Genomic DNA, 14,244 nt, shown 5'->3' with positions numbered 1-14,244 from the left:
TATCCCCCTGAAATTTGTAGGTTGAAATCCTCACCCCCAAGATGATGGTATCAAAAAGTGGTGCCTTTGTGAGATTATTAGGTCCTGGGGGCAGAATCCTCCTGAATGAGATTAGTTAAGAGACCCAAGGGCGCTTGTTTGCCCCTTCCAACATGGGAGGACCCAGTTAGAAGGCACCATCTATGAATCAAAAAGCAGGCTGTCACCAGACACCAAATCTACGGCATCTTGGTCTTGAACTTCTGGGCCTCCAGAGAAATAAAATTCTCTGGAATTTTATTTATAAGCCACCCAGTCTAAAACATTCTGTTATAGCTGCCTAAATGGCCTAAGACATATATGAATACATAAAAATATTTTGTTCTATACTTGTTAATTCTAGTTTGAGATCAAAATATTTCATTAGATAGGTTTAATAAAATTAAAATGAGCAAAAATAGAAAAGAAATCCAAAATAGAAGACAAAATAGTTTAAAGATCGACTACTTTCTGCCTTTAGAGCACATAAATGATTACTCTCTGGGTTTTCTTGTGTACTAGGTGCACATACTTCACAAATACAATGCTTATTTAGTTACTTTACTGGCATAAAGACAAGTGACCTTATGACTTCTGGATCTTTTGTCTGAATATTGTTTATAAGCCCCTCCTCTTAATGGACTTTATCTTACTCATGGTTTTTGATTCCCTAGGGCCTGGAATACTACACTTGGCACATCACTGTCATTCAAACATTTGCCAAACAAATGACTAATCTAGAAAGGTTGGAAGGTGGGGGTGGGAGGGTAGGCAGAGGTTCTTAAACTTGAAGTTGGACTATTTTTGAACTACAAAGAACCTTAAAAGTTATTCTGAATAATTATCTCCACCTCACTGATGAGGACACTACAAAGAACCTTAAAAGTTATTCTGAATAATTATCTCCACCTCACTGATGAGGACATCAACTTCAGAGTTTCATACCACAAAAAGCAAGCGGTTCCTCCATGCCTTTACAGTGGATCAGGCTTGTCACTAAACCCTGAATTGCAAGGATCAAGTGGCAATCACCCTGAGAACCCACCTGCCACCACCTGCATCATACAAAGTGGCAAGCAAGGTTCCCAACAAACAGCCTGAAGGAGTACCCTGGACTCAGAACGCAGACGCAGACCTCTTCCAGGAAATTGCTTCTCACTTCCCAGGAGATAGGGCCCTCAAAACACATGGGCAAGGTCTGGTATCAGGTAATATTCTTTTGTAGAGGGACATTCTTTCGTAAAGAACTCAGTACTATACAAACTGGGTATCACACCTTCTTAAGACAAATAAAAATGGACCTGAAAATGTTGATGGTGCCTCGTCTGAAGGCTTGAAATAAAATCCTGATATGCCCATGCCTTCATCATCACAAGGACACTTTAAAAAGCAGCCATCGGCTGCTCTACTCAGCAATGATGGTCAGGCACGGTGGCTTACGCCTGTAATCCCAACACCTTGGGAGGCTGAGGCGGGCAGATCACTTGAGGTCAGGAGTTCGAGCCTAGCCAACATGGCGAAACCCCGTCTCTACTAAAAATACAAAAATCAGCCGGGCGTGGCGGTGTCTGCTTGTAATCCCAGCTACTCGGGGAAGCTGGGGCACAAGAATCACTTGAACCCGGGAGGCGGAGGTTGCTGTGAACTGAGAGCACGCCACTGCACTCCAGCCTGGGCGACAGAGGGACATTCCGTCTCAAAAAAAAGAAAAGAAAAGAAAAGAAAAGAAAAAGGAAGCAATGAAGAAAAGTGAGAAAAATAATGAAAAAACGAGTGAATAGGATTAAAATCATAAGGAGATGTTCCCCCAAAAGGATACACAAGTTTTAAAAGATTTCAGAGAATTTAACTCTAAAATTCTAGAACACACTCTGATAGGAAAGTATATTTGTAAAAGGGTGGTTTGGCTTTTACCTAAAACTCATTTGTCATCAGATAATATTGTTAGAAGGAAGAATGTGATTTAAGAATCAGAAGTCTTAAGTGTTCTTCCCATCTCTGCCACATTCACACATCACCGATCCCCTCTATGCCTCAGTCTCCTCATTTGTAACATGTTCAGGATAAAATCTGATCTGTCTTCTTCACAAAGTAGCTATGAGGCATTCAAATGGGAGAATAGTGAACAGTCTTCATAAACTACTAAAGCACAATGCGAAAGCATTCTCAACAATAACAAATGGACAGTGATATTAAAAGTGGACAAATTCCAAAATTATTTAAATAAAACCATTTCAACTCAAATTTTAATCCAGTAAAAATCAAGATCTATTATTCCTAAAGTGAAAAGAAAGTCATCCCAATTACTTTAGATTAAAATTACTATGTTAAGAATTAGCACTTCATCGTCAATGCTATTTGAAACATTTAGTTATCCACTTCAACTGTATCTTTCAAGGCCTAATATAGAATGACAATTTGTTTTCTTGAATGAAACTGAGCAAATACACAACACACAGGCGCATGCACACACGCACATATTGCATACACAAGGCAAATACATAAAACCACTGATTTTTCTTATCCTGGGTCAGGTTACACAAACCAAATCTTTTTAATTTTTTAAATCACTGGAGTAATGAAGTTTTAATTTTGCCCAAAGCTAAAATCAGAATATATAGAGATATCAAATATTTTAACTTACAAGTTATACATTACTCAACTTTTTCTCACTAAGTATAAACCAGATGCCAGTAAGTCTTTGCCTTTTAAGCTCTAAAACTGCACCGTTCAACTCAATAGCCACTGGCCACATGTGACTACTGAGCACTTGAAATGTGGTTAATACAAATGGAGATGGATCACAAAATAAACCCCAGATTTTGAAGACTAACCATGAGAAAAAAGAATATAAAAATATCTCATTGATTTCTTAAGAATATTGATTACATGTTGGAATGAAAATATGTTGGACTGTTTGGGGTTAATAAAATAGATTAAAGCTGATTTTACCTGTTTCTACTTTTACATGTAGCTATTAAAAAATCTTAAGTTACATAGAGGTGGCTTTCTCGTATGAGAAAATGTTGGTCTGTTTCTCCTGGAGAGAGCTGCTCTACAAGAATACCAACACACTCTCTCGCTCCAAATACACATATAGACACTTTATAAATTTGCCCAGAATAGTCCTCAAAATGGGTCTTAGTCTTTACATCTTTGGCCACTGGGGAAGCTTGGCCAGACCACCTGACTTCCTTCCACTCACTCAATCACCTCCTGAAGTCCTAGGGAGGAAGGAGGCAACCACCTGGGAAGGGCAGGGACCCCCACTAGTGCAGCCTAGGACTTACTGGAGAGAAGTCATTCCTTTTAACCACTCCTGTAGAGTAAAATAACCCATGTTTTGTGCATCCAATTTCCAAGCTAGGACAAGCATAACTACCTGTTAAAAAAAAATACACAATTAAAAAAAAATATATTACACAAATTAAAAAGAAAAAACAAATAGATCTGTCATTAATACATTAACGTTTTGCTAAATGCTTCTGTTCACAGTAGTTTAGTCACTGAAATATGAGCAGAGTTAACTTCAAAAATGAGTTCTAGTTTGGCAAACATCTAAAAAAGTTGACAATATAGTCTGCTGACAAGAGTTTGGAGAAGCATGTATTCTCCTGATGCACGATAGTGGAGGTGTAAGGTGATCACCCTCTCCAGAGGGCAATATCAAATGTAAAACCAGTTATTGACAATTCCACCCATGGCAAGTTATCTTATAGGTCTACCTGTAAACAGACACAAAGATGAATTTTAGTCAACAGTATTTACTGCAGTACAATTTGTAGCAGTTAAAGACTGAAAACAACCAAATGGCCATTAATAAGGGACTGGTTAAATACTTCTTTGCCGAATACATTCCATATAAAGGAATACTATGACACCACTAAGATGAATGAAGTAGAACTAGCTGGACAAATATGGAATAATTTCCAAGATGTATTAAGTGAAACAGCAAGGTGTAGAACAGTGTATTAAAACATAACAAGGTGGACAGGGGGAGACACGCAGTGAAGTTGTAGCACACATACTTTAATGTTTGTGAATTCACTATATACACTGGTGGGAAATTATTTTAAAGTAGCCCCACATTCCACTTAAGACAGCACTATGCCTGGAATGGGCCCAGGGTCTGTGGCATGGTGTCATCACTTGTAAAGGAGGGGCAGGCCCCCAGGTGCCACCTGTGCTTTTGTGACTCTTCTGAAACCATGCAGGTTTCAGAAACAGTGACAACTCTGGTTTATGCCACTGCTTACTACTTTTTCCTTAGCTATTTTAGAGAAAAGATAGCACAGGGAACTGATGGTGAGTTTTAATAAATACCTAAAGGTGTAAAGACAAAATGACATTTCAAAGGTGCACCCAGCTTTAAGCTATCTGGAATGCTACACAGGGACAGGGTTGAGGCCATGCCTGATTAGGACAGGAGGAGGAAGCCTTCCTTCTCATCTACCTCAAAGATCCTAGAAGAGGTGAGAAGTAACTAAAAAAGAATGTCAGTCCTAAAAAGGTAAAGAAGAGGGACAGGGCCTTCTTAGGACCATTCTGCCAGCCACTCTGTAGAGCTGGTTATCTCTGGACAGTCCATTCATACATAAGGAACACCCAACTCCTAAATTAGGGATCAGGTATACACTGTTAATGGGCTCTCTCTCTGTGCTGAAACAGAAAAAGGCAATAGGTAGATAAACACATGTTTCTCCAAGGACTAGGATATCCGACACTGGCAGTTAATTTGATCTCTTTACGTAGAGCCTAAGGCTTCATTTCAGCTACTGAAAGAACCATTCAAAACCATTAAAACACCATCCCTGTGCCCAACTGGGTCAGATGGCGGCTATGGTGAAAGGAACTAAGATGACATAAAAACATGAAACATGAGGCAAGAAATCATTTTTAATGATTTCTGAGCCTCCGAGAGCCAACATGTCCATTAAAAACTCTAGAACAAGAGTAGTTAGGAGATTCAGAAGCTCTTCTTTTTAATCTGTCTGCCAATAAGCTAGTTTGTAGGCTAAAAAATCTCTAGCTTTGTCTAATTTACATGCAGGGGAGTTAAGGAGAAGCTTTCGCTTGATGCTGACTTTATGGTTTTCCTCACTGGAAATTAATATCAGTGAGAACCTACGAAATTTTTAGGATCTTTCATCAAATAAATTAGTACATATCAATTTTTTGAAAGTCATTAGGTTTTTTTTGGATTAAAAATTTAGATTACTAGGTAAATTACTAGGACTGATTAGTAATGACTGCTTAAAAGGCAATGATTGTTAAATAGGTTAAAGTGGTGACTTAAAAGACCAAGGTGCTACTAAGAATTTCCCAAAAAGATGGGGTTACAGTTCTTCAAATTATTCACACATTAGTGGATTTTCTCCTCATCCCTCAGGTTTCTAGGAATTCTGACTCTTGTATATCGATTTACCTAGGACAACTAACCAACTCACATTTTCTAATGCAAACTAGGTATTCTCAAACCATCTCTATTCTACTCTCTACCAAAAAGATTTAAAAATTCTACATAAACACTTGTTAAGTTAAAAAAAAATGGTGAGGGTGCAAGAACACACACACACAAGCATGAATGAAACATGGCTAAAGAGCCAAAACAGGTACTCATAATGGGAAAGTTCATAAAAAAGAGACTTTCATAAGTTAACTAACAAGAAATCTAAGTACTTAAATAAAGAATGTTGCTGTTATCTTGGTAAATGAACATAGACTTGAATTTTACAAGCCTGCTTAATTTCATAAGCTGTAAATATCAGGCAAAGTGAGGGTTTTAAATACCTTAAACGTGCTTGCCCATCAATGCAGACAAGGCTTGAAAACACCATATTTCAGCACTTGTTTTACAAATGTTAATGTCTCTGAAATGGGAATGCACCCACAATTGATATAGCACATCAGAGTTTATTTAGCACATTTTTTCTTAGTGATATAAAATAATACAACTTCTATTGGTGACAGCTTGGAATTGAAGTACATACAGTATAAATATTTGGATAATATTCTCTCTTTTTTTTCTTTTTCGAGACAGAGTCTCACTCTGTTGCCCAGGATGAAGTACAGTGGTGCGATCTCGGCTCACTGCAACCTCCACCTCCTGGGCTCAAGTGATTCTTGTGCCTCAGCCTCCTGAGTAGCTGGGATTACTAGCGCACATCACTACGCCCGGCTAATTTTGGTATTTTATTAAAGATGGGGTTTCACCATGTTTTCCAGGCTGGTCTGAACTCCTGACCTCATGTGATCCACCCACCCACCTCGGCCTCTCAAAGTACTGGGATTACAGGCGTGAGCCACCACGCCTGGCCTACATACTTGGATAATATGGTCTTTTAGTCTTTAATATGATTATAAATTTTAAGGATATTTCTATTCCTACAGAAATGGAGTTTTTTTTTTTTTTTTTTTGGAGATGGAGTCCTGCTCTGTTGCCCAGGCTGGAGTGCAGTGGCATGATGTCGGCTCTGCTCACTGCAACCTCCACCTCCTGGGTTCAAGCGATTCTCCTGCCTCAACCTCCTAAGTAGCCACACCTGGCTAATTTTTGTATTTTTAATAGAGACGGGGTTTCGCCTTATTGGCCAGGCTGGTCTCGAACTGCTGACCTCAGGTGATCCGCCTGTCTCGGCCTCCCAAAGTGCTGGGATTACAGGCGTGAGCCATCATGCCAGGCCAGAAATAGAGTTCTAAAGGACTCATAACTGCCAAAAAAGAATGACAATAACTATCTTTTATTGAGTACTGGTATTTGGGGGTGAGGAAACTTGAAGAGCTGTGCCTCCCTTTCTTCTTCAGTTAGAGTCAACGTCAGTGCTCTCCCATCCTGGACAGGCTTTTCTGCCTCTGAGACTAAATGCTCAGCTAATCCCTCACATACCAGCAAGCCCTTTGTCTCCCAGTCTTCTCAGCCTCTAACTTCAAGCCCAGGCCCTGCTGCCACTCCTCTGTCATATACTTACTACGGTACCCCATGTGGAACCTCCGGAGCCCCTCTCAAGCCCAACTCACTCTCAGCCCTCTGACTACATGTTTAGAAAACACTCTGCCAAGCTTGGCCCAGTTCTCATAGAAAACTTCCTTCTTAAATTCAATGTAATGGTCTTTTCTTGTGTCTACGGCCCAGTCTGTGGCAAAATACTATTGACCCAGGTGTCCCCAAACCTTCATGCCAAGTTGGGTAATTTATTGAAATACCTGAACTGGAATACATTTAAAAAAAAAAAAAAAACCAAAAAAAAAACCAAGATAAAAATCTATGTAATAAGTGAAAGACATTCCAAAGGCTCTTTAGAAAATTTAAAGCACTGCTGGGGGCCAAGATAGATGACAGAAGCACAGAAATGGTAAGGGTAAAATAAAAAGTTTAAAGAAAAAAATGTGAATTTTGCTAGTTTCTTTAAAAGCATGACATACATGCCTGGGCACCAGATGTCTTGGAAACAGCCTGAATGAAGAGAATGATCTCTTGAGATCTCTTCCCAGATCACAAATTCATTGAGGATCTTGGACATATTTATTAAACTGGAGCTAATGTAATATCAAACTGCATAGTTAATGAGGCAGGGCATGTGTATAAGCATAGTTTTTCATTTTAGTGTAAGAGAGGTGATGTAGGAACAGAAAAAATATTCAACAATAACATGCTAAGAATTAGGCAAAAATAATTAAGCTTATAAAAATCACTCTAATTAAAAATAAATACCTAGGGCTTTTACATTATAAAAAGCAATCATGGCCGGGTGCTGTGGCTCACGCCTATAATCCCAGCACTTTGGGAGGCTGAGCCGGGCAGATCACAAGGTCAGGAGATAGAGACATCTGGCCAACATGGTGAAATCCCATCTCTACTAAAATACAAAAAACATTAGCCAAGCATGGTGGCGCACACCTGTAGTCCCAGCTACTCAGGAGGCTGAGGCAGGGGAAATCGCTTCAACCCGGGAGGCAGAGGTTGCAGTGAGCCGACATCATACCATTGCACTCCAGCCTGGCGACAGTGCGAGACTCCATCTCAAAAAAAAAAAAGCAATCACTTCTGAGCTAAATTCAATTGGAAGTAAACGATCTATGAAAAATTCTTGATGATTACAATCTACTCAAAATCATGATGAATAATTATAAGTCCTAGATTGACTCTACATTAGGCTAAAACAACTACTGAGGGGCACGAAGGTACACAGCGTACAATGTGGCCTCCAGTTGATCCGTCATTGTAGGCACATGTGGCCACACCATTTTGTAAGCATCTGGCTTACTGTACCTTTTACATACAAGAAATTAAATGAGAGAAAAAATAACTGTAGTTACACCATATCACTTACAAGAATGGAGAATCTGCTTATAAGTCAAACTAGAATTAGAACTTATTTCTTAGACTGCTTCATAAAAACTAACATACCACTACTTTTTAATTATTTATTTATTTGCTAAAGAACAAAGATTTAAGTATGAAAAACAACCAACTGATTCACCCAACTCAGTAAGTTTGACTCACGTTTTCTGGTTCAACACCAATGTCTTCACAAAATTTCTCCATGCCTTCAGGGCCTACAACATCATCAGTTCCTGTGAAATACAGTCTTATGTAAATTAAATCTGACCATGCACACCATACTATTACCACTGTAGTAGTATTATACTGTCAACAAGTAAGACTTAAAGGCCATTAACTCCTTTTGGAAAAAAAAATCAAGTCTAAGTTGAAAAGTATTCTCGAATTTCAGTATCTTTAAAGGACTCTACTTTGTACAATCATTTAAATCAACTTATCACCATGTCCTTCAATCGTTGGAATATGGTATATACCATTTGTCTAAAGTTAAGGCTGAATTCAATTCCTGCTCTTTAAAACAGCTTAATGTTCTACTCTTACTTGGGTAATAATTTCAATACATAAAATAATTTTTGGAAACATAGCAAAGAACCACATAATAGTCTCTATAAAATTAAATAAGAAAAAACATAAATGTTTCTTTTACATAGAAAAAAATCAAGTTATCACTCTGTTCTTGATAAAGACAGTAAGGCCCCCTTTTCCGTTCTAGCATTAGCTCTGATTCTTCCTGAAGGAAGCGTCCACACATTCCATCTCTAATTTATCTCCCCTTCACTTTGTAACCATTGGAATTTGGTTTCTTCTTCTCCTAGCTCTCCACTGAAATTCTTTTTGCCAAGGTCTCCAATAAGCCCCTAAATGTCAAATCTAACAGACAAATTCAGTCTTTGTTTTATCTGACCATTGTGTGATATCTGAAAATCTGAAGCAGTTCTTTTTTCACAAAACTGTCTCTTCCCATGGCTTCTTGAAGCACCCTCTCTCATCTGGCTTTCCTCCTTCCTCTCCCCTTCTGGCTTCTTTATGGGTTCTTCTGCTTCTCCCAGATGGTTAAATTTGATGTGCAAAGATTCATCCTTAAACCTCTTCTAGTGCCTGCTATATACATTATTCCTAGGAAATTTTAACCATACTCAAGGTCTCGGGTCCTACCCAAATGTCTTTCTAGACCACACTTTCCCCTTACTTTTGAACTACTTGCCTCTTTATCACTAGCTGCTCCACCTCCTGTTTAACTGCCGTAACTACACTCATCTTCTGCTTCAAACCTACTCCTCCCGCATTTCACATTTTCAAACACTGCCTCACTAAAACGGAGCCCAATGTCTCTCGATATCAGGCCTGCTTATCCTCCTGTATGCTGTCCCAGCTGGTGGCACACCCAGAAATAGAAACCTGGGAGTCTTCCTGTATTCCTCCTTTCTCTCACACCCAATCAATTATCAAGTGTACTACCAATTTTACCTTCTAATTATTTCTTAATTGTGCCTCTCCTGCACCATGCTCTTTCAAGGCTTTATTCTTGACAACTACAGCAGTCTCCTCATGATCTCCTAATTCCAGAGTCTTTTCCCCCCGACCCATCCTGCAAACAGCCACTGAAGGGATCCACTTCAAACGCAATCCCATGCTGGCTTAAAATCCTTCAATGGCTCCCTAGAGCCTAAATATAAAATCCAAAGTGTTTGGCTTATCACATAAGGTTCTCTATGATCTAGTGCCTTTCTTCCCTCTTCAGTCTTACATCTTTCCAACTGCAAAACAAGTTTCTCAGAAGTAAATGAATCAATAAATATTGCTGGATGAAAAAAAATTAAGGTCCAGAAACACCTACTTACCTGTGGCTTCACTCTGCACCACCACCGAACACACACCCAGCACAGTATTACTCTTTGTGTCTCTGCCTGTCTTCCTCTAGTCCCCTTCCTGTCCCCTCCTCTCCCTTCCCCCAACTCCCCTGGCTAACTTATTCAACCTTTAAGACTGAGAGCAAAGGAGTAGTCCTCACAATCTCCCCACCTGCAGAGGCTGGGTCAGGCAGTACTGTGACCCCTCGCAATGCTAGGAATGGTTCTCACACATTTAGCACACTGCATTCAAAGTCCCAGCTCATCTGTCTTTCCCTCTAAACTCAAGAGCAAGAGTTCCTTTATTCTTCTTACAAGCTCAGCATACTATCTGGCATAGAATAGCTGGTCCAATAAAAACTGAATGAAGGACTAAATGAATGGCTGAATACCAGAATATAGGAAACGCTCTACAATCCTCCTATACCCTCTAGATTTAGCAAGTCACCAAGTCCAGCAGAATTCACCTTCTTAGTATGTATCCATTTCATTCCCATAACATTTGTTAGACACATCCTGGAGCTATGCACTGCAGTAGTTGCCTAGGGTGCAAACAGTCCCTGCCCTCCATGAAGGGAGACAAAGTACAGGAGTAACCTCAATACAAAGTAACAACAAGACTTTCACTAACACAAAGTATAAGGTGGCTGTTCTTAACAAAGGAGGAACACTAAAGTCACCCGGAGCTCCTGCTGGGAAGTCTTACGTCATTTTTCTGCTTCAAATCCTTGGCTCCCCCTAAAGTTCAAACTCAGGCCCTTCCTCATAATCTGGCCAAAGCAAATACTTTTTTCTTGTTGCCATTATTTTCCTTTTAATCACAAATGTTCTACTTCATTACACAATATTTTACTTCATATATTCAAATCTGTTACTTTTTTCTGGGGTTTTGTCCCCTTCTATCCCCTTTTTATATAAATGTATAAACATAAATTTAAAAATATAAATTTATATATAAATATATATATTTATATATTCCTAGTTTTCTTATCTTGATTATCAGAAGAAAACCAAATACTATTTTAGTTTTGTACATTAATACATAAACATGATACAAAGTTTCATTTGAAAATAAAAAATAAAATGTTCCAAAAGTGAAGTTGTCCCCTCTAACTCCTCCCTACTCTGCAGAGACAACTATTTATTAAAGAGCTTCTTTAACAACACTTCTCAAAATAAGCCATCTATAGAATTGTATATGCATGGAATATATACATATTTATTTAGTGTTTCTAAGTTTGCCCAGGCAATTCTCTTTGGCCTTCCAAGTGTAAAATAATTTAATCATTTCATCTGCAATGATCATTTCTGTCTCCTCCTTTCCAATATTTACACTCCTCGTTTCTTTCTCTTGTCTAACAGCAGTGCCTAGTAGCTTCCAAAACAATGGCAAGTAAGAGTAGTGAGAGTGGACATTCTTATCTCATTCTTGACTCAAATACGACATTTAGCATTTTATCACACAATATATTGCCTGCTTTCTTTGGTTTGAGAGTGCATATATCCACATGTGCACATTCATGTATGTATTAGACACACTACACATCAATTCATTCACATGACAAAATATTTAAATAGAGAACATACAGAATAAAATAAACAGTAAAAAAAAAGAAACTTGCCTTCTCCCTTTCTTTACCAGATAAGACATGATAGTATCCTCCTGGACCTTTTTGCTGCATATGGGCAAATATATACTAAAATGCAGTTTTCAAATTTGTTCACCTACGCACATGGGTTTGTGAGGTACTTGTAATTCTACACCTTGCCTTTTTCACTGACTGTGTCTGGTAATCTTCCTGTGACAGTACCCATACATCTACTTCATTCTTCTTAGCTAATATTAATACATTTTATGTTATCCCATTGTAAGTGTACATATGTGTGTTGATATGAATCAAAGTTCTTTTCATCATTCTACTAAAGTATTTAGGCTGTGAGACTGAAGAATATTCTGATAAGGAAATATTCATCTATTCCTATTTTGTTAAGGGTGTTTTTTTTAAGCAACAGATACTTTTTGGTATCTACTGATATGGCTTATTGAGAAGCAGCTGCATAGAGCCGGGGGGGAAAGTTACTTTGTAATTCTTTTAAAATTCCTCTCTCTTTGGTTTCTATTCTTCCTAATTTAAAAAAGCTCTTTCTGTGCAACTTATTCTTTTATTTATTTATTTATTTTTTGAAATGGAGTCTGGCACTGTCGCCCAGGCTGGAGTGCAGTGGTGCAATCTCGGCTCACTGCAAGCTCTGCCTGCCGGGTTCATGACATCCTCCTGCCTCAGCTTCCAGAGTAGCTGGGACTACAGGTGCCCGCCACCACGCCCGACTAATTTTTTGTATTTTTTAGTACAGATGGGGTTTCACCTGTTAGCCAGGATGGTCTCGATCTCCTGACCTCGTGATCCGCCCGCCTCGGCCTCCCCAAGTGCTGAGATTATAGGCATGAGCCACTGTGCCCGGCCTGTGCAACTTATTCTTGAGCCTAGCAAGCCGCCTGCATTTGCCATGCCTCTGCACATGGCTTGGGTGTTCCCCGGCTTCCTCTCCCCGTCGTGCATCCTCCAACCTGGCTACTGCCTTCTCTTTCTGTCAATGTTCACCATAAAGGTAATGTTTCTCTACTTATTTGCCTGTTTGCCACATGGGAAAATGAACTCTGAGCACGGTGCTTCTGCTGACTGCACCCCAGACCTCAACGAAGGTCTACTGAGGTATCCTTTGCAGTGGTTATGTAAGTTATTAATGCTTTTTCTTTTTTCCCAATTTTATAGTGTTGCTGTACTACTTATAAATACATGTGTCTGTGTGTTTTAGAAGAGCAAGATTTTAATTTGCAATGGCATGACTGTCAAAGTAATATCTTATCCAAAATAGGTTAAAATATAGTTTGCCAATCAACATTATTGAAATGCTACCAATAACCCTGCCATCTAACACTTTTCTTAAGAGATGGGGTCTCACTATATTGCCCAGGCTGGTCACAAACTCCTTAGCTCAAACGATCCTCCTACCTCAGCCTCCCAAATTGTTGGAATTACAGGCGTGACCAACTGCACCCAGCCCTAACACTTTTCTTCTCATCTTTCCCATGCACACATTTAAATCTAGTTGTAATTGCATGATTTGTTGGGATTCTAGTTGTATTTTACACTAAATTTACCTGTAGAATTAAGGTAATTACCTCTGTCAAGCAAGCTAACAAATACACCACTGGCTAACACAAAGTGGGTTAGAAGTGAAGTTTGAGACAGAGAGGTTTTTTTTTTCTTGTTTTTTTTTTTTTTTTTAACTTGTATCTAAAATAATAAGCTATAAAATGCCCTAGGTGACAAGATACTGGAGGTACATCTGGTAAGGCTGATATACTGACAATAATCCAGAAAGAAGTGGTCCTTCCACTTTCCCTGCCATCTTAAGCAGGGGCCCCTAACTAAAGATATTTGACCTTTTCATAATGGCCCCATAATTATAGCATACCACATCACAGAGGCAAATGGGGCCCACATGGTCTCTTAGGTAGTTTTTAACATCTCTTCCTTCGCTATCAGACCAGTTTATTATTTGTTGCAACTGTCCATGACTGACTTTATTTTTGGTAAACCAAACAATTCTGCTATAGAACTTAATCCAAAATAGACTAAGGGCCTACAGTCAGGACTTGTAGAACTATTATGACCTATGTATGTGAGCTTTAGTATAACTGTAAAACCAATGTTGGCACCTGTGTATTTGGTTTAATTCCTTATTCTTAGATATATTTCAAAAAGTGGAAGTTATTAGATAAATTATGTAAACTGGTCATCTTCATTCTTTTTTTTTTGAGACGGAGTCTCACTCTGTTGCCCAGGCTGGAGTGCAGTGGCGCAATCTTGGCTCACTGCAACCTCTGCCTCCCGGGTTCAAGTGATTTTCCTGCCTCAGCTTCCCGAGTAGCTGGCACCTCAGGCGCATGCCACCACGCCTGGCTAATTTTTTGTATTTTTATTAGAGATGGGATTTCACCGTGTTAGCCAGGATAGTCTCGATCTCCTG

At 39.0% G+C, this 14,244-nt stretch overlaps 1 protein-coding gene across 24 annotated transcripts in view; it reads right to left on the bottom strand.

The window, feature by feature from the left end:
* DCUN1D4 (defective in cullin neddylation 1 domain containing 4) overlaps positions 1-14,244 on the bottom strand; it is an 82,954-nt gene that overhangs the window by 21,678 nt on the left and 47,032 nt on the right. For 23 of the 24 annotated variants that reach the window (XR_007096386.1, XM_047449871.1, XM_047449872.1 and 20 more), the window contains 2 exons: positions 8,522-8,592; positions 3,309-3,400 (listed from right to left, as the gene is read on the bottom strand). Coding sequence is in view for 23 of the 24 variants with exons in the window: in XM_047449871.1 (XP_047305827.1) it covers positions 3,309-3,400; positions 8,522-8,592 (163 nt within the window). In the remaining variant the exon portion in view is untranslated. Of the gene's footprint in view, positions 1-3,308; positions 3,401-7,915; positions 7,927-8,521; positions 8,593-14,244 lie in introns of those variants that run through there. The other variant, XM_017007913.3, reaches the window with a different exon arrangement.

Source organism: Homo sapiens, chromosome 4 (assembly GCF_000001405.40).
Source record: "Homo sapiens chromosome 4, GRCh38.p14 Primary Assembly".
NCBI classification, from domain to species: Eukaryota; Metazoa; Chordata; class Mammalia; order Primates; family Hominidae; genus Homo; species Homo sapiens.
This window is presented reverse-complemented; position numbering and strand designations above follow the sequence as displayed.